The sequence below is a fragment of the Homo sapiens genome, chromosome 6 (genome assembly GCF_000001405.40).
Source record: "Homo sapiens chromosome 6, GRCh38.p14 Primary Assembly".
NCBI classification, from domain to species: Eukaryota; Metazoa; Chordata; class Mammalia; order Primates; family Hominidae; genus Homo; species Homo sapiens.
The window spans coordinates 43,659,658-43,681,369 of NC_000006.12; the positions used below are offsets into that span (position 1 = coordinate 43,659,658).

At 52.0% G+C, this 21,712-nt stretch overlaps 2 protein-coding genes across 9 annotated transcripts in view, besides 7 other annotated features; one reads left to right on the plus strand and one right to left on the minus strand.

Annotated features, from left to right (window-relative positions):
- The window catches only part of RSPH9 (radial spoke head component 9), a 27,565-nt gene extending 14,622 nt beyond the window's left edge, over window positions 1-12,943 (plus strand). For 4 of the 6 annotated variants that reach the window (NR_187614.1, NR_187613.1, NM_152732.5 and 1 more), the window contains one exon: window positions 11,132-12,943. Coding sequence is in view for 4 of the 6 variants with exons in the window: in NM_152732.5 (NP_689945.2) it covers window positions 11,132-11,292 (161 nt within the window). In the remaining 2 variants the exon portion in view is untranslated. Of the gene's footprint in view, window positions 1-6,766; window positions 6,864-11,131 lie in introns of all 6 variants that reach the window. The other 2 variants (NM_001424119.1, NM_001193341.2) reach the window with 1 other exon arrangement.
- Window positions 2,369-2,558: an enhancer, noted in NCBI's record as "active region_24607". NCBI's record gives its function as "activates an Ori minimal core promoter by ATAC-STARR-seq in GM12878 lymphoblastoid cells {active_cell/tissue: GM12878}" and the evidence as "EXISTENCE:reporter gene assay evidence [ECO:0000049][PMID:35858748]".
- Window positions 7,430-7,499: an enhancer, noted in NCBI's record as "active region_24608". NCBI's record gives its function as "activates an Ori minimal core promoter by ATAC-STARR-seq in GM12878 lymphoblastoid cells {active_cell/tissue: GM12878}" and the evidence as "EXISTENCE:reporter gene assay evidence [ECO:0000049][PMID:35858748]".
- Window positions 8,120-8,269: an enhancer, noted in NCBI's record as "active region_24609". NCBI's record gives its function as "activates an Ori minimal core promoter by ATAC-STARR-seq in GM12878 lymphoblastoid cells {active_cell/tissue: GM12878}" and the evidence as "EXISTENCE:reporter gene assay evidence [ECO:0000049][PMID:35858748]".
- Window positions 8,890-8,979: an enhancer, noted in NCBI's record as "active region_24610". NCBI's record gives its function as "activates an Ori minimal core promoter by ATAC-STARR-seq in GM12878 lymphoblastoid cells {active_cell/tissue: GM12878}" and the evidence as "EXISTENCE:reporter gene assay evidence [ECO:0000049][PMID:35858748]".
- Window positions 9,070-9,229: an enhancer, noted in NCBI's record as "active region_24611". NCBI's record gives its function as "activates an Ori minimal core promoter by ATAC-STARR-seq in GM12878 lymphoblastoid cells {active_cell/tissue: GM12878}" and the evidence as "EXISTENCE:reporter gene assay evidence [ECO:0000049][PMID:35858748]".
- Window positions 10,404-10,643: a silencer, noted in NCBI's record as "silent region_17239". NCBI's record gives its function as "represses an Ori minimal core promoter by ATAC-STARR-seq in GM12878 lymphoblastoid cells {active_cell/tissue: GM12878}" and the evidence as "EXISTENCE:reporter gene assay evidence [ECO:0000049][PMID:35858748]".
- Window positions 11,545-21,712, minus strand: part of MRPS18A (mitochondrial ribosomal protein S18A) — a 16,590-nt gene continuing 6,422 nt past the window's right edge. Inside the window, exons 2-6 of one of the 3 annotated variants that reach the window (NM_018135.4) lie at window positions 21,432-21,463; window positions 18,861-18,968; window positions 15,837-15,960; window positions 15,545-15,614; window positions 11,545-12,249 (exon numbers count right to left, since the gene is read on the minus strand). In NM_018135.4, the coding sequence (NP_060605.1) occupies window positions 12,105-12,249; window positions 15,545-15,614; window positions 15,837-15,960; window positions 18,861-18,968; window positions 21,432-21,463 (479 nt within the window). In that variant the 3' untranslated portion in view covers window positions 11,545-12,104. Of the gene's footprint in view, window positions 12,250-15,544; window positions 15,961-18,860; window positions 18,969-21,431; window positions 21,464-21,712 lie in introns of all 3 variants that reach the window. The other 2 variants (NM_001193343.2, XM_006715134.4) reach the window with 2 other exon arrangements.
- Window positions 11,836-12,468: an enhancer, noted in NCBI's record as "H3K4me1 hESC enhancer chr6:43639230-43639862 (GRCh37/hg19 assembly coordinates)". NCBI's record gives its function as "activates a minimal SCP1, AML or CMV promoter by ChIP-STARR-seq in naive H9 embryonic stem cells {active_cell/tissue: H9 hESC(naive)}" and the evidence as "EXISTENCE:reporter gene assay evidence [ECO:0000049][PMID:30033119]".

The window sequence follows — 21,712 nt, forward strand, 5'->3', positions numbered from 1 at the left end:
AGGCGTGAGCCACCCCGCCCGGCCCATGTTCGGCTAATTTTTGTATTTCTACTTTTTACTTTTATTTTTATTTATTATTATTATTATTTTTTGAAATGGAGTCTCACTCTATCGCCCAGGCTGGAGTGCAAGTGATGTCATCTCGGCTCACTGCAAGCTCCGCCTCCCGGGTTCACGCCATTCTCCTGCCTCAGCCTCCTGAGTAGCTGGGATTACAGGTGCCTGCCACCATGCCTGGCTAATTTTAAAAATATTTTTAGTAGAGACAGGGTTTCACCAAGTTGTCCAGGCTGCTCTTGAACTCATGACCTCAGGTGATCTGCCCGCCTTGGCCTCCCAAAGTGTTGGATTACAGGCGTGAGCCACCATGCCCAGCCTGGCCTTTTTTTTTTTTTTTTTTTTTTGAGACAGAGTCTTGCTCTTTTGCTCAGGCTGGAGTGCAGTGGTGTGATCTCAGCTCACTGCAACCCCTGCCTCCTGGGTTCAAGTGATTTTCCTGCCTCAGCCTCCTAAGTAGCTGGATTACAGGCATGCGCCACGATGCCTGGCTATTTTTTGTATTTTCAGTAGAGATGAGTTCACCATGTTGGCCAGGCTGATCTTGAACTCCTGACCTCAAGTGATCTGCCCACCTCAGCCTCCCAAAATGTTGCGATTACAGGTGTGAGGCACTGTGATTGGCCCTCCACTGACGTCTTGAACCTGTCAATATCATCCATGAGGGTTGGAATCAACTTCTCCCAAACTCCTGTTGATGTTGACATTTTGACCTCCTCCCATGAGTCATGCATATTCTTTTTTATTTATTTATTTATTTATTTTTTGAGACAGAGTCTTGCTCTGTCACACAGGCTGGAGTACAGTGGCATGATCTCAGCTCACTGCAACCTCCACCTCCCGTGTTCAAGTGATTCTTCTGCCTCAGCCTCCCGAGTAGCTGGGACTACAGGCGCCCATCACCACACCCAGCTAATTTTTTGTATTTTTAGTAGAGATGGGGTTTTACCGTGTTAGCCAGGGTAGTCTCAATCTCCTGACCTAGTGATCTGCCAGTCTCGGCCTCCGAAAGTGCTGGGATTATAGGTGTGAACCACCGCACCTGGCCAAGTCATGAATATTCTTAATGTCATCTAAAATGATGAATGTTTTCCAAAATGTTTTAAATTTACTTTGCCCAGATCCATCAGAGGAATCATTATCTATGGCAGTTATAGCTTTATGAAATGTCTTTTAAAAATAAGACTTGAAAAGTGAAGTCACTCCTTGATCCATGGCTGCAGGATGGATGTTGTGTTAGCAGGCAGGAAAACAACATTAATCTCGTTGTACATCTCCATCAGGGCTCTTGTACATCTCCATCAGAGCACAACATTAATCTCGTTGTACATCTCAATCAGGTGCATTGTCAATGAGCAGTAGTAATTTGAAAGCCATCCTTTTCTCTGAGCAGTAGGTCTCAAAAGTGGGCTTAAAGTATTCAGTAAACCATGCTATAAACAGACATGCTGTCATCCAGGGTTTGTTGTTCCATCTATAGAGCACAGGCAGAGTAGATTTAGCATAATTCTTAAGGGCCCTAGGATTTCCAAAATGGTAAATAAGCATTGGCTTCAACTTAAAGTCACCAGCTGTATGAGCCCCTAACAAGAGAGTCAGCCTGTTCTTTGAAGCTTTAATGCCAGGCATTGACTTCTCTTTAGCTATGAAAGTCCTAGATGTTTGGCTGGGTGCGGTGGCTCACGCCTGTCATCTCAACACTTTGGGAGGCCGAGGTGGGCGGATCACCTGAGGTCAGGAGTTTGAGAGCAGCCTGGCCAATGTGGTGAAACCCCATCTCTACTAAAAATACAAAAATTAGCCGGGCATGGTGGCCTGCACCTGTAATCCCAGCTATTCGGGAGGCTGAGGCAGGAGAATTGCTTGAACCCGGGAGGCAGAGGTTGCAGTGAGCCAAGACTGTGCCAATGTACTCCAGCCTGGGTGACAGAGCGAGACTCTGTCTCAAAAAAAAAAAAAAAAAAAAAGAGGAAATCCTAGATGGCATATTCTTCCAAGAGAAGGCTGTTTCATCTCCATTAAAAATCTATTGTTTAGTGTAGCCGCCTTAATCAGTGATCTTAGCCAGGTCTTCTGGTTAACTTGCTGCAGCTTGTACATTAGCATTTGCTGCTCCACTTTGTACTTTTATGTGACAGGGACAGCTTCTTGCCTTAAATCTCATGAACTAACATTGATTGATTGACTGACTGAGACAGAGTCTCACTCTGTTGCACAGGCCAGAGTGCAACAGCGTGATCATGCTTCACTGTAGCCTCGACTTCCCAGGCTCAAGTGATCTTCCCACCTCTGCCTCCTGAGTAGTTGGGACTACAGGTGTGTGCCACCATGCCTGGCTTATTTCTTGTAGACACAGGGTCTCCCTATGTTGCCCAGGCTGGCCCCAACCCCTGGGCTCAAGCCATCCTCCTGCCTGAGTCTCCCAAAGTGCTAGGATTACAGGCATGAGCAACCATGCCCAGTCAATGAACTAACCTTTGTTAGCTTCCAACATTTCTTCTGTAGCTTCCTCACCTCTCAGCCTTCATAGAATTGAAGAGAGTTAAGGCCTTGCTCTGTATTAGGCTGTGGCTTAAGAGAAGGTTGTGGCCGGTTTGATTTCCTATCTAGACCACTCAAACTTTCTACATATCAGCAAGAAGGCTGTTTCACTTTCTTTTTTTTTTTTTTGAGACGGAGTCTTGCTCTGTCGCCCAGGCTGGAGTGCAGTGGTGCAATCTCGGCTCACTGCAAGCTCTGCCTCCCAGGTTCACGCCATTCTCCTGCCTCAGTCTCCTGAGTAGCTGGGACTATAGGCGCCCGCCACCACGCCCAGCTAATTTTTTGTATTTTTTAGTAGAGACGGGGTTTCACCATGTTAGCCAGGATGGTCTCGATCTCCTGACCTTGTGATCCACCTGCCTCGGCCTCCCAAAGCGCTGGGATTACAGGCGTGAGCCACCACGCCTGGCCGGCTGTTTCACTTTCTTATCATTTGTATGTTCACTGGAGTTGCACTTTTAATTTCCTTCAAGGACTTTTATTTGCATTCACAGCTTAGCTGTTTGGTATAAGAGGCCTATCTTTCAGCCTATCTCAATTTTTTTTATTTTTGGTTTTAGAGACAGGGTCTTGCTTCATCACCCAGACTGGAGTGCAGTGGCATGATCATAACTCATTGTAACTTTGAACTCCTGGGCTCAAGCAATCCTCCTGCCTCAACCTCTTGAGGAGTGCAACAGCACACGCAATAGGTGTGTGCACCATACCTGGCATTTTTTTTTTGTAGGGATGGGGTCTCGCTGTGTTGCTCGGGCTGGTTTCAAACTCCTGCACTCAAACAGTCCTCCTGCCTCAGCCTCCTAAAGTGCTGGGATTACAGGGATGAACCACCATGCCTGGCTCTATCTCAGCTTCTGACATGCCTTCCTTACTAAACTTAGTCATTTCTAGCTTTTGATTTAAAGTGAGAGGCGTGAGATTCTTCCTTTCACTTAACACTTAGAGGCTATTGTAGAGTTATTTTATTTTTTATTTTTTTTTGAGACAGAGTCTCACTGTGTTGCCCAGGCTGGAGTGCAATGGCATGATCTCAGCTCATTACAACCTCCGCCTCCTGGGTTCAAGCGATTCTTCTGCCTCACCCTCCTGAGTAGCCGGGATTATAGGCACATGCCACCATGCCCAGCTAATTTTTGTATTTTTAGTAGAGACAGGGTTTCACCATGTTGGCCAGGCTGGTCTCAAACTCCTGACCTCAGATGATCCACCTCCCTCAGCCTCCCAGAGTACTGGGATTGCAGGAAAGAACCAATGCGCCCAGCCTCTGTAGAGTTATTAATTGGCCTAATTTCATGATTGTTGTGTCTCAGGGAATAGGGTGGCCTGAGGAGAGGGAGAGGGCTGGGAGAAGTCAGAAGACACACATTTATCAATTAAGTTTGCCATCTTAAATGGATGTAGTTCGTGGTGCCCCAAAACAATATCATAGTAACATCAAAGATCACTGATCACAGAACACCATAACACATATAATAATAATAACAAAAAAAAGGGCTGAGTGCGGTGACTCATGCCTGTAATTCCAGCACTTTGGGAGGCCGAGGTGGGCGGATCACTAAAGGCCAGGAGTTTGAGACCAGTCTGGCCAACATAGTGAAACCCCATCTATACTAAAAATACAAAAATTAGCCAGGTGTAGTGTGCACACCTGTAGTCCCAGCTACTCAGGAGGCTGAGACACGAGAATCACTTGAACCTTGGAGGCAGAGGTGGCAGTGAGCCGAGATCACGCCACTGCACTCCAGCCTGGGTGACAGAATGAGAATGTCTCGAAAAAAAAAAAAAAAGAGTTTGAAAAATTGTGAAAACTACCAAAATGTGACACAGAGATACAAAGTGAGCATATGCTGTTGGAAAAATGGCACTGATATACTGGCTTTACACATGCAAACCTTCAATTTATAAAAACTGCAGTGTTTGTGAAGAGCAATATATCAAAGTAAACCTGTGATGATGATGATGATGATGATGATTATTTTGAGACAGAGTTTATTTATTTGAGACGGAGTTTCTCGCCCAGGCTGGAGTGCAGTGGCATGATCTCAGCTCACTGCAGCCTCTGCCTCCCGGGTTTGAGTGATTCTACTGTCTCAGCCTCCTGAGTAGCTGGGACTACAGGCGTGAGCCACTGCACCTGGCCTTATTATTAATTTTTTTAGTGGCAGAAAGTCCTTAGAGATGAGTTGGGGCAGGCCTAGGAGGGCCTAGAAGGCCAAGGCAGTAGAAGCTGCTGGTGGCTTGTGAGCAGGTCTGTGACAATAAGGCAGTGGTACACAGGTGGAGCGAGACAGGGCAAGGCAAACCAGGAATCATGAGGCCATTTCAGGGCTACTGCAGTGCCCCAGGGGCCAGGCAATGGTTCTGAGTGGGTAGGAGCTGCCACCAAGGAGTGGCCATTTGGGCTTCCATCATACAGGAACATCTGAGTCAAGCTACTCTGAGCAGGGCCAGTGCTGTAGTGACAGAGAGGAGGGTCTCCGGACAAGTAGGGGGATATGAAGAGGGTCTATAGGGGTTGGGGCATTTCTCGCCCATCAGACATACTTCTCAGACTCCCCTCATCTCCTCCATCTCTGCTCCCAGACTTGTCAGGAGGCTGAGGGTGCTGTACGTCCCTCGTTGACAAAGGGAGCCTGGAACGGCGGTGGTGATGGAACCTCAGAGCCAGGGGCTGAGGGGTGGGCCTACAGAAGTCCTCTTCATTCCCCTAATCTGAGGGCAGCAGCCCTGTCCCCTGATTCAGGGTGTGTCTGGCAAGCCCTTTGCAGCCTTCTTACCTGCAGCTGGATGCTCCAGAATCAGAAGATGAAACTCTCCTTTGTGCTGGGTGAGAGGGGCTGGTGCAGTAGTGCTGCTTTGCCCGTGGAGCCTCATCCACTGTGCAGCAAGAGGGGTGAAGAGGGTGATAGAGCTTCTGCAGCCAAGACCAAAGCCAGCTAGATGGGGTGGGGCCCAGCAAAGTCTTCCTAAGGGAACACCATCAGCCCTATCTGCCCTCTGCTGTCTCGGGTAAGGTGGACCCTGGAGGCAGCTGTCTTTCCTTGCAACAGGAGAAGTAAAATGTGGAGCTTTGGAGTCTTCCTAAAGGCTGCTGGGGTTGGGGCTGGGCAAGGTGGCCCATGCCTATAATTCCAGTGCTTTGGGAGGCCAAGGTGGCAGAATCGCTTGAGCTTAGGAGTTTGAGGTTACTTGTGATTGGCCACCATTGCATTCCAGCCTGGTGAGCCACTCTGATGTGTCCAGTTGGCAAGTGAATTCATCAGGCCTATGGGAGGTGTGGCATCTGGGCCTGGCAGGTGGGTGAGCTGCAGTGACCCAAGGCCCTAGGCATCCTGCCCTGATGGTGACCTCAGGGCTGCAGGATCAGCTGCTGGCTTCACTTCCCAGTCCACCCCACCATGTTGCTTTATGAGCTGGAACCTTGGAAGCTGAGGACTCCTGGCATTTCCTGGGCATGTGGGCCTCAGGGGAGGGATGCTCCTGGCCTTACCTTGGGAAACCTCCCCATACTCTTCAGGTCCTTCCTCCCAGAGCCACTACTACCAGTTTTTCTTTCTTTCTTTCTTTCTTTTTTTTTTAATTTGACAGGGTCTCACTCTGTTGCCCTGGCTGGAGTGCAGTGGCCAGTGGGATGATCTTGGCTCACTGCAACCTCCGCCTCCCAGGATTAAGTGATCCTCCTGCCTCAGCCTCCCGAGTAGCTGGGACTACAGGTGTGGACCACCATGCCTGGCTAGTTTTTGTATTTTTTGTAGAGATGAGGTTTCACCGTGTTGCCCAGGCTGGTCTTGAACAACTCAGCTCAAGGGATCCACCCACCTCAGCCTCCCAAAGTGCTGGGATTACAGGCATAAGCCACCGTGCCCAGCCTAGGCCCACCTTTTTCTCACGATGGTTCGATGAGGGTCATGGCGATGGAGTGGAAGTGTGGATGGTCACAGGAGAGCGGACAGCTCTGATTTTCCTCCCCGGTCCCCTTTCCTTATCAGCTAGGAAAAGAGCAGTCTGAGCTGCTTGGAGGCTCCCCTGCCAGGCAGGCAGCAGCTGGGCTGGGCTGCTAATTGGGGCCAAAATCCCAAGGAAGAGTTCCCTGGGACACCAGGACTGGCTGGAGGGATGGGATTTGGCAGCTGTTTTCTGGCCAGTTAGGATAACTGTTTCCTTTCAGGGTCTGAGGCAGTTGTTCAGGGTGACTTCACGTGGCTTCTGAGCAGGTGTGGTTTTGGTTGGCCCTGTTCCTGGGACTCCTGCTCTGTGTCCATGAGGTAGGCCAACGACTCCGCATCTTGTCCCTTGGCCAAAGTGACAAGAGACACCTTGGCTGAAGAGAGGAGTGGGAGAGCTGTTGTCCTCATGAGTTGTCATGCCGTGTCCAGGGATCCGCAAAGTTCCATGGGAGTGGGTAGCTGGTTCTGGGGTGGCAGGACCATCCTCCTGCCGGATCCAGGGTAATGACTAAGAGTTCTCTGACCTTGGGCTGCAGCCAGGTGGCATAGATGCAGCCGTGGGTCAGGAGGCCATATATATACATATATTTGAGACAGAGTCTCGCTGGAACCTCAGCTCATTACAACCTCTGCCTCCTGGGTTCAAGCAATTCTCCTGCCTCCGTCTCCCAAGTAGCTGGGATTACAGGCGCATGTCACCACGCCTAATTTTTGTATTTTTAGCAGAGATGAGGTTTCACCATGTTGCCCAGGCTGCTCTCGAACTCCTGACCTCAGGTGATCTGCCCACCTCAGCCTCCCAAAGTGCTGGGATTACAGGCGTGAGCCAGCACGCCCGGTCAGGAGCCTAGATTCCTAGGTAGTATCTTGCCATTCGATGCTCCCTGAACATCCACTATATCAGCAAATAGCCACTGAGCAGCTACAACAGGCACCTGTGATGCCCTTGGAATAAGAAAAACACCTCCCTTGCCTCAGAGGTTTGGGAAGATCAAATGAAACAGAGGATGGGAAAGGGAAATGTAAACTAGAGGGTGCCTTGCAAGCATCGGTGTCCTGGGAGGTAAAGGAGGAGGGCTGGAGGGCCACTGCTCCTCTCCTTGCTCCACTCTGGGCTGGTGCAAAGGTCTCAGAATTGCCAGGTGCACACAGGCTGGGGCTCCTTCCCAAGCAATTCCTCAGCAGCAATGCTCAGTTCAGGCAGCAGAGGGCAGCAACGCGCCTGCCTGCCTACCTGGAAAGCAGCCTTTGAAAGCTGCTGCTGGTGGTGGTTGAGGACCGGGAAGGGGGCGAGTGAGGCGGGCATGGGCGCGGGGGGGAACATGGTGCCCAGGGTCAGCCTTCCCTTCGGGATGTGCGCAGGTGGCTCTTCCTGCCCCAGTTCCTTGGAAGCCTGGCTGACAAGTGTTCAGCCTTCTGGGCCACGGGGCCTGCCTTTGCTACTCGATTTGATACGGGTCTGGCAGCCAGAGGTTTCTCCCTCCTCCTCCTCCTCTGTCCTCAGGCCTCTAGGGGGTATATGATTCTTGTGGCCCTTGTAGGGGATGGGGGTGCCTCTCCCACTGGGAACCCATGGCCATTTTTTTTTTGTATGTGACAAAAATTTTGTTGGTGCTCATCTGAGAGGGTTTGAGCCATCTGTTGCCCCTGGACAGCCCTGGTCCCCAGCCTGGCCTACTGTCCCTCGATCTTAATCCCAGAGCTGCCTTTCTTCCAGGATGGCAGGAGAATGTAATTAGAGTAAGTACGCCCTAGCCTGAGGTTTCCATACTAGCAAGGTGGGTGAGACCCTGTGGGCCCAGGAAACCCAGGAGGAACCCCTCCTGATTTACCAACCTGTACCCATCACATCCTCAAAACACAGCTTCTGGAGAAGAGTGGCTGCTAGGGGGCAGGAGGGATTTGGGGAGAGAAGAGAGAGCGGGGGCTGTGAACCTGCAGCACCAAGTCTGCAGGGGGCTTTTCCCCGAGTCCTGGAGGCGGTGACAGCAGCTGGCTGGGCTCAGCCTGTTCAGCAGTTGCAGTAAGAAAGTGGGTGAAGGTGACAGCAAGTGCTTGGCTCTTCAGGTAGATGCTACGTGACTCCTGGCACGTTGAGTCTGTGTTTCCCGGGCGACCAGCTGAGCCAGGGACGATGAGAGGACAGGAGTGTGACAGGAATGCGAGGGAGGGAGGCAGTGCTGTTTTCTGGCTGGCCCTACATGCCGCTACCGTACTCCACCAGCACCCTCCCGCCTGCGCAGCACTGCCCCCTGCCAGGCGGGGGCACTGTATTTCCCTAGCTCCCCTGCCAGTTTCTCCTTGCTCTCTGGGTAGGAGCCCCTGCTGATAGGCCTAGGCCACTTCGTCCAAGAACACTGCCCCCCGCCCCCTGCATTATCTACTGGAGGCAAGAGGTGGCCAAAGCCTAGGCAGGCAGGCTGGTGTGAGGGCAGGGCAGGACCAAGCCCTTGCCCAGGCATGCCAAGGTGCTGGCAACAATGAACTGACAAGGGTCTAGGTTGGAGGACTCCAGGATTCCATTTTCTCCAGGGCAGCACCTAGCCCAGGCAGGCTGCAAGCTGCCCTCCCTCAGTAGGCAGATAGAGATGAGGCAGTCTGGTCTTAGTTCAAGGGGCTGAGGGACTGTCTTTATGGAGCCTGGTCCCTGACGATACTCTAGGCTGGTGGGGTGACCAAGTGAGGGAATCGGATCTCCCTGGGTCTGTGCTTCTTGTCCAAGGCTGAAGCAGTGGAGTTGGAACACTCTGTCCTGTTGGACCCCCACCCTCATCAATCCTAAACAATCTGTTTTCTGGAGATGCATGACCAGGAAAGTACCAGGCTAGGGACTCTCAAACTCTGAGGGCAGGTCTGAGAGGCAGAGGACCTCAAGCACCCAGAGAAAAGTTTTAAGAGTCAGGGGAAATACTCCTTCTCAGGGGCAGTGTTCCAGCCGGAGCCCCGCTAACACAGGGGCACTACTTTCTTCTTGATGTTGTCCAGCAGGCACTGTGTGGGCTGGAGGGGGCTGACGTCATCCTTTGCATGGGCGATGGCACTTGGTGCTGGCCACTGCACGGTGCTAAAGTGAGCTTTGCGATTGGCTTCTCCCTGAGCAGGACCAGGGACAGCCAAACTATATACGCCCAGAAAACTTTGGTTTTGACCTGGGCAGGCGGCTGCACCCTGAGTAAGGGTGCATGAGCTGCCATGAGGGTCAGGGGTTCCTGGCAATCAGGTTTCTTGGATGCAGGGTGGCCCCCAGTGGGTGGGCACTGAGTTGTGAGGCTGCAGGGTGTGGAGTGACTAGGGTGAACCATGGTTGGAGGTGGCCCGTGGGAAGCTGGGGCAGCAGGAGCCAAGCAGCCAGGCTGAGCTGGCAGCTGATGAAGGCCTCAGAGAAGCTCTCAGCGCATGGCTGGCTGGTCCAACACCAAAACTTTCAAAGCATTTGCCTTTCTGGCAGGGCCTGGAGCAGGGCTGTGGCTGGGCCGGGAGAGGCCTCAGTGCGCAGGGGAATAGAAGCCCCAGATCTGCATCCAGAGGCGATTTTCCCAGGCTCCTTCCTCCCACACTGTGGCTCCCTCCCTCGGTTCTGGAGCTTAATCAGGCCCTTCCAGCCAAGTCCTCATGGCTGCACGACTCAGCCCTGAGCTGGGCTGCTCCTGTGTGGGGAGACAAAAACCAGGGCAGAACCTAGGACAAAGGCTCATTAGGGGCAGCCCAAGTCCCCTCCCACCAAGGATGGCTCCCAGTCTACCAGCTGCCAGAAAGGGCCATTGAGCTAGGAGGCCTGAACTGCCCAAATTTCTATTTGAGCCTTCCTTTCCTGGTCTGGTCTAATCCAACTCAGGAGAGGCTTCAGGAAATGGGGAAGACACAGCAAAATGGCAAGTAGTGGCAAACCACACTAGAACTGGTGACTGCACTAGGTATAGTGTGGGAGGAGCTGGTGTCTCCCTTGGCCCAGCCCAACTCCCCTCTGCCTGTGGATTGGATTCAGCCTCCTCCCCCACTCAACCTTTAGCTAGACTTGCTGACAGGAACAAAACAGACTGGTTTGAGTTTCGCCTCTTTTCATTTCCTTTGCCCTCCCTCTGAAAGTGGTTTTAATGAGCAGTGAGATGGCTAAAAGGGCTGGGCGTGGTGGCTCACATCTGTAATCCCAGCACTTTGGGAGGCCAAGGTGGGAGGATCGCCTGAGCCCGGGAGTTTGAGACCAGCCTGGGCAACACAGTGAGGCCCCATCTCTACAAAAAATCAGAAAAGTTAGCTGGGTATGGTGGTGCATGCCCATGGTCCCAGCTACTCTGGAGGCTAAGGTGGGAGGATTGCTTGAGCCCAGGAGTCAAGACTGCATTGAGTTGTGATTGCGCCACTGCATTCCAGCCTGGGTGACAGAGTGAGACCATGTCTCTTAAAACGAAAAGAATAATGGCTAAAAGACAATCAGGGAGTAAAGCATCTGGAGAATTAAATGGTCTCTCCCCAGTGGAACCATAGCACCTGGGCCTGGCTGCCCAAGGAGCCAGGGGCCACAGCATGAAGGGCAGAGCTGTGGCTCCAGCAGCACCAGGCCTCACCTCCTGCCTGTCTTATCTCAGGGTCCTGGAGCATCCAGATGGAGAGGGGCAATGCCCTGGTGGTGCTGCGCAGCCTGCTCTGGCCGGGCCTCACCTTCTACCATGCTCCCCGCACCAAGAACTATGGCTACGTCTACGTGGGCACTGGCGAGAAGAACATGGACTTGCCCTTCATGCTATAGAATGGGAGCCAGCCTGGATGTTTTTAAACAGAGTCTAAACATGATTTTCTTAAGCTTCAGTGAACTTGGCCTGCCTGTTCTGTCCTATCTTCTTAACTCCACCTCCGTCTGGTTCCAGATTCTGAAAGGCCCACTGAGCCAGGGAGCTCATTTCTAAACCAAGTGGCAGAGGGGTTGGAATGTGCTAATGAAAGAGATTCTAGACAACGATGGGTGGAAATGGCTGTGGGAGAAGGTGACAACCAGGGCCCCTTTGAGGAACGCAGTTTCTTGGATTCACACGAGAGCGGCAAGTGTGTCAGGCAGCCCACCTTGGCTCCCTGCAGCTCTCCCACAGTAAGGAGCTCACAGCTGTCATGAAGAGGATGGGACCTGTTTGGCCCATGAATTCAATTGACTCATTGGCCCCATCACAAGAGATCAGTGACTCAATGCTCAGCACCCAGCTGGCAATGTGCCCAGGACCCCCTGCACTTCCCAAGCAGTGAGCGCACACCCAATGGGTAAGCCCATGAACCCAGTTTATGACACTGCGTTGGGCAAAACTCCTGTCCCCAGCACTGAGCATGGCCTAAGCCCCATAGCAGCTGGCAAGGGACCCAACTGCCCTGCCTGCCTCTAGCTCCCAGCATTGCTACTGTGCAGGCCAAGGGTACTGAAGTTAGTCCCACTGTCCCCTGTCCATGCATGTTGGAGGGACCAGGCCATCGTGGTGGGGTGGGACAGGAGTATAGTTGTGGCCAAGGGCTTGTGAGTGGGCCTCCTACTCCCCAGCACAGGTGCAGGAGGAACTCTGGAAGCACTGCTCTCTGTCAGTGATACAGCTTCCAAGGTGTTCTTGAGTAGCAGACATTGTCCCTCAGAAGGGGTGACCCCACGGGCATGCGCACCCTGTTCCAGCGGGGGCCTTTTTTGTAGATGGGCTTGACGGAGCCAGGAGCCCAGCGCGTCAGGTACCTGTGGAGGGAGAACAAAGAGGTGCCTGTGAGGGCTGGGGGCCCAAGCTGGACGTGGGAGAGTGGAGCACTACCTCCTCAGGCCAGGCCACGGTTGGGCAAGCAAATCCTTTCACCAGTTTCCCTTTCCTGAAGTGCAGGGATTTTCCTGGGAGTAACTGCTGAGCGTCCTGTAAACAGATGGGCTGGGCTCTTGCTGCCGCAAGCCTGTGTGGCCAGGTTCAGGCAGCCCAGGGCCACAAGCTCCCTTGATCTTTGTAAATGTCAATGTTGGTGTGTGTTTGCTGAGGAAAAGGTGGCGAAGAGGCTGCCTGAAGAGCAGATCATTCCTCTCTGGCCTCAGCCATGGGGCGAGAAGAGCTGATGTAAGGCTCTGGAGGAACCCATTGCTCTTCCCCATTTGGCTCACTCAGCTACCCCAACCTTCAGGGAACTCCCCAGGGTACTATAACTGGTATAAGACCCCTGCCCCTCACCCAACCTGTGATGGGAATCAAGGGGTAAGGGCCCGTGGGCGCAGCCCTAGCCTAGGAAGGTTCCTGTAAATAGGAGGGGGGTGGGGAAAGATGGCTGCCGCCCATGGACCTTTGGCCTCCTTTGGGGATGGCCAGGGCCCTGATAGTTCCCAGAAAAGTGGCTCATGCCGGCTAGGATTGGGTTTTACTCTGTCCAGAATAAAACTTGGATCCTGTCCAGAAAGGCCCATCCTTCATTCTGAAAGCTCAGCCATGACAAAGGCCAGGAATCCTCCCCTGCCTCCATTCTAGGTTGGGGCTCAACCCAGCTGTCTCTAGAGACCATCAAAGAAAAAGCTTTTTTATTTAAAAACTCAATAACCTTAGCTAAAAACTCTTAGATAAAAGAAGTGAAAAAATGATTGCTGATTTATGCAGTTCAACTGAGCTCCGCTGGACCTTGGTCTTCTGCTGCCAGCCCTGTGTTGACAGAAGCTGCGGGAGTTGCTGGCCTGCACTCCAAGTGTGTGCTGGGCAGGGATGGGAGGGCCTTCCATGTGTCTCCTGGAATTGTCACTGCCCTGGCCAGGATGATGACTGTGAAGGAGGCTAGTTATAGGGACTGCTTTTTTTTTTTTTTTTTTTGAGGCGAAGTCTTGCTCTGTTGCCCAAGCTGGAGTGCAGTGGCGCGATCTCGGCTCACTGCAACTTCCGCCTCCTGGGTTTAAGCAATTCTCCTGCCTCAGCCTCTGGAGTAGCTTGGATTACAGGCACCCGCCACAATGCATGGCTAATTTTTGTATTTTTAGTAGAGACGTGGTTTCCTCATGTTGGCCAGGCTGGTCTTGAACTCCTGACCTCAAGTGATCCGCCCGCCTCGGCCTCCCAAATTGCTGGGATTACAGGTGTGAGGGGACTGCTTTTTCTATGGTCGGTGGTTCTAGGTGACAGAAGAGTAAGGTAAAGGGAGGGGACCAGGGATGGCCCCTTTGCTGGCCTCTCCCAGGCTTCAGAGGGGTACATGAAGAGATGGGGTATGGGAGCAGGCTCCCCAGAAGGGTGCTCATTGAGATTTGGGGATGCAGAGGAAAAGCTGGAAAGGTTCTCCAGAGCTACTGCCCTAAAGCTGTTCTTTCTCCCATGCCTTGGAGAGGGAAGCTGGGCTTTAGCTGGCCTTGGGCCTGATGCCTGCGCCACACGGAGCGGCCAGCTGGCAGGGGGTGGGCCGGGTGGCCTCCAGCCAGCTCTTTGGGAACACCCCAGCTCTAGCAAGAACCAAGTCTCTTTCCTAAACCAGCCCCTTCCTACCTCTCCTGAAGGGGCAGCAGGAGGAGCGACACAGCAGCAGACAAAGCATGGCTCCGCCAGGCCCCAGCGGAGCCTGGGCCCATGCATGGCAGCATTAAACGAGACTCCCCTGCAAGGGAATCCATTTCCTTCGTAGCCTGAACTCCCCCTCCCGCTCAGCGTGGCCTTTTGCAACCGACTAGCCCCCACACATCATCAATCCTGTGTCACGTTAAAGGATGCCGGATGTATGGGAGGGCGCCTGGCCTAGCTTCAAAGGCCTGAGGCAGGATGGATTGTGTCCTCAGGCCTGCTGCTGTCTCTTAAAAAGCCAGAGGGGGTGGGCTCAACCCCCAAATGGTCCATAGCATAGTTAGGGGACATAGGAAGAGGTTAGCATGTCCTGCTCCCCAAGAGCTGCTGGCAGATGGCTGAGCTAGCAATGTGGGGGGCACAGGTAGAGATGGGCACACAGCCAGGGTGCTGGCATGGTGTTGGTAAAGGTCCAGCTCTGACTTAGCCCCCAGGGACAGAGAGGCAGGGTACCAGGAAGAAGCCCTGCATTCCCACATCCCACACCCCCTACCCTCCATGCCTGAGTTCTGGTGGGGATCAGCCTAGGAGGTCTGCTGGGGGCTGAGGTGTTTGCTTTGCGTCAGTCATCTTTGATACCTTACAGAGAGCAATTCTATTAAAAAAGGACAAAAACTGCAATTACTTCCGCACCAACCTAATATGTTCCTCATTCCAGTCTGGGAACCACCAGCTGGACAGGAGGAAAGGGCCATTGGTAGGGAGAAGAACCCCCTCAAATCAATTCTACAGACCTGGCTCTACTCTCAACAAGGGGATACTAGAGATCTAAGACTATGTGAGTGTGCTGATGCCAGAGAGGAGGGAAGAAGGGAACTTGCAATGGGACAGCTGCTTGAATGTTAGACAAGAATCTGCTTCCACTCTACAGGGTCCTGCTTAGACTAGAAGGCAGACAAAGTGATTCCAAGGTCTGCAGGCCATCCTCTCCTTCTCTGTATGAACTCTGGGCCTCCTAGGCTGCCACATGGCGCTGTGTAGGTTGTTAACTACAACTCTGGGGAGCACTATTTGTGACCTAGTCTACATGGATGTTGCCCTGAAGTTGTCCAGTGTGCGACCTGCACAGCTGTATTCAGTGGCACTAACCCAGGAGGCCCTCCCATTTCTAAGGCCTTCTGTCCTCTAATAACCCCAGCGCTGGAGAGAGCTAGGATACTGAAAATTTGTAGTACTGACATCCCCATAGCCACCCAGTGTGATGTCATAGATGGGGGATTAGCACATTCTAATGCCCAATCAGCAGGCCTCTACCCTCCTTGCGCCTTTGCTAAGGGCCCTACAGGGGAGGAAAGAGGCTGAGGTTGGCAAAGAAGGCAACAGAAGAAGCGAAGACTGCAGCAGGGGTGGACTGATGGGGGTGGATGCTTAAGCTGGCAGGGAATGGAACAGACAGCCAAGGTGCACCCTAGTTTTCCTGAGCGCAGAACGCTCAGGTTGTTCACACCCAGGCTTGCTTACCGGTTGAGTTGGGGTTTGCTCTTCGGAACAACTCCTTCAGGAAGCCGAGGCCTGTGATTTGGTAATAGACCTGAGTGGCGGGGAAGAGGGGATAGTCTTTGCAGCTCCCTCTGCAGCTCTGAGGGGGCCAGAGGGAAAGCCCAAGGGAGCGGGAAGGTTGGCATTGGGTGGTGAGTATAATTAACACTCCGGATATCCACTTTTCTTCCAGGAGGGGCTGAAACATGGGGCAGCTGGGTGGGGAGAGAGTGCCTGCAGCCCTCTGCCCCTCTTGGTCCCCAGGGCCTTCTACCTGCTCGGTGGGCCATCTTCACACACTCCTCGATCTTGCGGTGTTCTTCCTGGCATAGGCCTGTGATCTTTCGGGGCAGCATGCCTCCATGAGGCCGGATGAACTGGCTAAGCAGCAGAACATCCTAGTGGAAACCGAAAATAGGGGATGAGGGTCAGCTGGGCTTGCTTTTGATGCCGGGAAGCTAGGGCTTCATGGTCTACAGGGGAGGCTGATATCTCCTGGGAACCTAGCTGAGATCACTTCCTCCACACAGAGCTTTGCACATGGGTCTGCTACCTTCACCCAACAAAGGTTAATCCCAACTTAGTAAGATTTTCTGTACCCCATTATCAACCCCAAGAGCTCCCAGCTTCTCTATGAGATTTTTTTTTTTTTGAGGCAAGGGCTCACTCTGTTGCCCAGGCTGGAGTGCAGTGGCGCAATCTCGGGTCACTGCAATCTCTGCCTCCCAATCTCTTGCTCAAGTGATCCTCCCACCTCAGCCTCCTGAGTAGCTGGGACTATAGGTGCGTGCCACCATGCCTGGCTAATTTTTGTAGAGATGGGGTCTCGCTATGTTGCCCAGGTTGGTCTTGAACTCCTGGGCTCAAGCAATCTGCCTGCCTCGGCCTCCCAGAGTTCTGGGATTGCAGGTGTGCGCCCCTACACCCAGCCTCCTGAGATCATCTTCTGATAGACTAGGTTAGAGAACAGAAACTCTTCAAGAAGGGTCACCAATCTTTTATGTACCTGAAGCATCTTTCTTGGACAAAATGTCTGCTCAGATAGGGTTAGGAGACATGCCATATGTTTCCACACAAGAGGAAAAACCTGTAACATTTTAGACCTCAAAGTCTATATACCACAAGCCAGAGTATATGCAAACAGCCCCTCCACCTCCTGCCATTCCCTCTGAAGTGCGAGGAAGGCATAAAAGCCAAGGAGGAAGGAACCAGGGTTGTGAAGTTTAATCTCACATGATCTAGGCCCCCTGTGACCAGATCTGAGTGGATTCTTGGGCCTCCTTCGGACCATCACATGCCCACCAGGCTGCCTGGGACAGGTCAAAGGAATAGATAAGCAGAGCCAGAATCAAGACAAGGGACCACCTCCCTGCCAGGTCTAAAATGTTACCATTCCCAGACTGCTTGAGCCCAGGAGTTCGAGACCAGCCTGAGCAACACAGCAAGACCCCGCTGTCATAGAATGGCTTAAGGGGTTAAAGAAAACTCACCATTCCCCTCCCTGCAAGGGCCTGGCATGCCAATCTTAGCAGTCAAGTTCCACAAACCAACTTGCTGCCCTGGCAGGCGCCTTGCTGCATAACTGCAGATTTGTTTTAATCACTGGACAGTTCCTGAGGGACCCAGGCCTTCAATTCCCACCCCTGTACTTTTCAGAATCTGATGAAAAGAACTTGGATTGGATTAATCCAGGGCTAATCAACTGGGCTGGAGGCCCCAGCCCTCCACCCTAGGCTGCCAAGCAAGCTAACAGCTTTGTGCAGCTCAGGATAATGGTGCTCTGAGTGGAAAGGGGTAAGAGGAAAAACAACTTTAGCCTTTACCTCAGCCGGGATTAGATTTCTTCTGCTGGAGAGAGCCAAGTATGTTTCCTGGAAAAGGCTGGTAGGAAGAGTGCCCTACAGTGGTTGGGCGGGTGTGGGGTTTGCTTTTCTATCAGCAGCTGAGGTTCCAAGGATGCCCACAACCCCACTAACTTCCGCATGGTGAGCGGCTGGGAACACTGCCCCTTGCCTGTGTGCTTGCTTCCTGTTACTCCAGGCGGCCATCAGGAGAAGGGCCCCAGGACAGAAAGAACCCCCCCAACCCTCAGGGTGGCCTCAAGCCAAGGCTTCCAGCCCACGAGATTAGTTGGGTCACTCTGTTCAGATCCCATGGGCATGTGGCTTCTCCTGCTCTTATCACCTGACCAGGATCTCTGCCTTTAGTCATCCTATTCCACAAAGGGGCACAGGGACAACCTGCAGGTCAAACTGGCCCAGAGCCTGAATCACCTGAAACCCAAAAATAGGGTGTTTCATGTCACCTGTGAGAGCTCTGAAGAACAAGTAAGGATTTCTCCAGGGCTGTGTCCTTAGTCCCACGCCCTCCCCATCTCTGGGGAGGAGGTAGTGTAGTCATTAGGAGCATGGGATCTGCCTGGGCTTTCGTCCCTGGAGTTTGTATCCCAGCTCTGATACTGGCTGGGGGATCTGAGGCAAGTTCACAAACGTCTCCATGTCTCAAATTTCCTCATCTATAAAATGAGGATGAAACTAGTACCTACTTCATAGGGTTACTGTGAAAACTAAGTGAATTAAAACAGGTAAGTACTCAGTGCCCGACAGAGTATGCACTCAATGTTAGCTGTTGTTATTATTCACTACTGTCTTTTTTCCCTGGAAACGACTGCACTAGAAGAGCTTGAGCAATCAGGTATCTTTATAGCTCCAATACAGAACGACAAGGTAATGTGTTCCCAGATCACAGTGAGAACCAAGAGCCTGTTCAAATACACCCTCATCATAAAAGAGGAAAGCCAAACCCAGATCATGATTCCATCCCACAAGAGTACAACCCCGGCGAGCTGAGTTAAGGGCCCTAGTGGTCTGAGGCACGACCAGACCACAAACTCAATCAGTGGCTCTCAACCCTGGTTGCACATTAGAACCACGGGAGAGCATTGAAAAAATGCTCAGGCCCCACCCCCCGAGGCTGATTCCACACTGTGACCTCAGTCTCCTAGGCTACCGAAGATGGTGATGGGTCTTCTTCAGAGGGAGAGCTGCGGTGAATGAGACCACATCTATGAAGTGGCTTGGGAGGACCTGGTGGAGCCCATGCATCATTATTTTTTAAAAGCTCCCCAGGTGATTCTAATGTGCAGCCAGGGTTGAGAACAACTGGACAAAATGCTCCCATCTCTGGTGGTTCCATGAAATGCAGCAGTAGCTACAGCGGGGACATGCTGCTCCAGTTAACCAGGGAATCTGAGAACTTCATGACACACAGAACCGAGTGTCTCTGTACCCAGACTCACGTCATAGTTATACTTGTGCTTCAGGTTCCAACGGCAGATGGGGCACTGGCCAGAGGGGTTAGGAGGATTTGGACTCTCCTTGGGAGTCGCTGTGATACGGCCTTCAATCTAGGAGACAGAGAAAGTGAGCCAGTGTGAGAGACAGGACCTGCGTGGAGCCACATTATCTTTGCACAAACCCCAAAATGATGGTAATGCTGGTGAAAGTTTACCTTGGGGGTTCTTGTGGGAGTAGCTAAGAGGTTTCTCTGCCTGAACTGTGGTGTTTATTCTGTAGTTGCCGTATGCTAGGCCTTGAGATAGCTACAGGGATGTGGTTTGGTGGCCTACAGGGGTAATGGAAACCATCTGAACTTAATACCAGTGTCAAGAGGGAGAGAGGGGTTTGCTCTATCAATTGAATGCTACCTTTCCGTCCTCGAAAAAAACAAAGGCACCAGAACACTATACTTTTTCCCCTCCTTGGCTTTTGGGGGAAAGTAATACATGCACATGGTAAAAAGTTTTAAGTGGCACAGGGATATAGAGTCCAAAGAAAGCCTCCCTCCCATCCCACATGTCCTCCTAGCGGGAAACTGCAGTTCCCAGCTTTATCTTACAGAGCTAAGGCTATGCCAATGGGTCTCAACCAGAGGTGATTTTGCTCCCCAGGGGACATCTGGCAATGTCTGGAGACATTTTTAATTGTCACGACTGGGGGAGGGAGTGCTACTGCATCTAGCAGGGATGTTCTAACCATCCTCCACTGCACAGGACAGCCCTCACAACAAAGAATTACTCAGCCCCAAATGCCAGGAATAGCAAGGCTGAAAAAACCCGGGCTGTGCCATATAAGCAGATATGCGTGCACTCGTTCTCTCTTTACAAAAGAAAGAAAAAACTAACACGATACAGATGGGAGGATACATTTCTCTGTCATGCTCCTTGCTTTTATCATTTTGGATGCCACCTTTTAAACCCTGCTGAGGCCAAGTGCGAAATGACCTCCCTATCGCTGCCGTATCCTGTGATACAGCCTTGGAATTACTAAGCGCAATAAACCAACGACCTGGGAATTAGCTCCAATTGCAAGAGGGGAGTTTAGAAAGCCTGGCTGACTGAGGCTGTGGGTTATGAGAGTGAGGCTGGGACGGGTCTGAGAGGCTTTGGGAGGGAAGCAACACTGTCTCCTGGGGGAGAAGTGGCACAGGGGAAAGGGGCTGGAAGTACTACTTGGCTGTGCAGGGCACTGCTACCCTCCTTCTGCCATGGCAATCACAACTATACCAGAAACTGAGATGTTAGAGAAAATTCGCAAGTACACGGTAGGCCTTGGGAGGCAGGTTGCAGTGGGTTGGGGGTTGGGGGTGGGGAGAGCTAACATTTATTGACTCCCCATTATATGTGTGGCTCAGTGCTAAGAATGGTTCACATATATTAGTTCACTTAACCTCCAGAATCTAGTGAGGTAGGTGTCTGATCTTATTTCATAGGGGAGAGAATAATATCCAGTCAGCCATGGCCATGCCGCTAAAGGCATGGATGGGCTCTTCCCTCCCCTGAGGGCTCTCATAGGCCACAATGCCTCCACATCTATTCTACAAACAGCAGACTCATGCCCCACATGAAAAACACTCTTTATACTCAAAAGTCAGATGTATTTCTCTCCTCCAGCATGGAGTTGATAGAGTGAATGCTTGTTTTGGCTTTGAATCAAGGAGCCTAAAAGGTACCCTAAGGGGATTGGGGGGGGTCCCCTAAAAAGAACTGTTTTGAGGCTAAGTAGTGGAAAGGCAGAGGGAGCATTCTAGGGGGAGACCCAATGGACTTGTCCTGGGAATAAGACTGCCTTGGGGAGGATTGAGCTTGGCTGGCTACCTAAAGGGTTAAATATCTGGTTGACATGGAAGTTACAGAGGCCTCTGGGAGCTCTGTGCAGTGACTGAGGATTTCTTGGAGGCATAGAAGGCCATGTGAAAACAGCGTTGTTGTCTTTTAAGGATTATAGGATAATCTAGGCCCCATGACTCCCCAAGGAAGGGAGGTGGGATGGGCCCAGGGAGGGAAACGGGGGAGTGGGTAGATGAAGTATTGTTCCAACTTTCTTACCAACAGACAAACCAGGGCGCCAGCTAGTGAGGCCAGGGCCGGGAGAATGTCACTTTTTAAATGCATCATTTAAGGAGCAGTTTAGCCATTCTAGGCAGAAAAGAAAGGAACTGAGGTCCAGGCTCTTGGCTCTGGGTCAACTTACTCTGGCTCTCTAGGCGTGCAACAATGCCTTAGTTTCCCCTTTGGGAAAATGATTCAACACCCGCCAAAGAGCTTATCAGCAAAGGCCTCTGAGACCTTGCTACACAAAAGGCCACTTTCATCAAATAGCAGATACCTCAGCCCAGGCACAGCAACTGTTCCTGATTAACCACACTATAGCACACAGCTTGAAAAATAGTAGGCTGTGGGATTTATGGTCATTGAGGGAGCTGATCCTGGAGCTGGGCGTCCAGTTTGGGCCCCTCCCTCCCTCAGAGGAGCGGCCAGGCAGCTCCAAGCGTTAAAGAGGTTATACATGGCCAACTCAACGATACTTACTATAGTTGTCTTCCCTTCTTGGGTCTCCACCACTACGGAGATAAAGGGGGAAACATTAGGTCAGCCATTTAATAAGGAACAGAGAGTTTCAAATAACAGCTCAAATTCTACACATCTGGAAAAAAGCAGCCTTCCATCTGTACTCTCTCATGGTCTCCACCTAGAACAGAAAGCATGCAGGGTTCACCCCACTAGTGCCAAGGCTCTATGCCCTTGAGGCGGGGTGGGGGCAAGCCCAGGATACCCAGGTAGCATCACCTCTCTGGTATGGGATTAAGGAG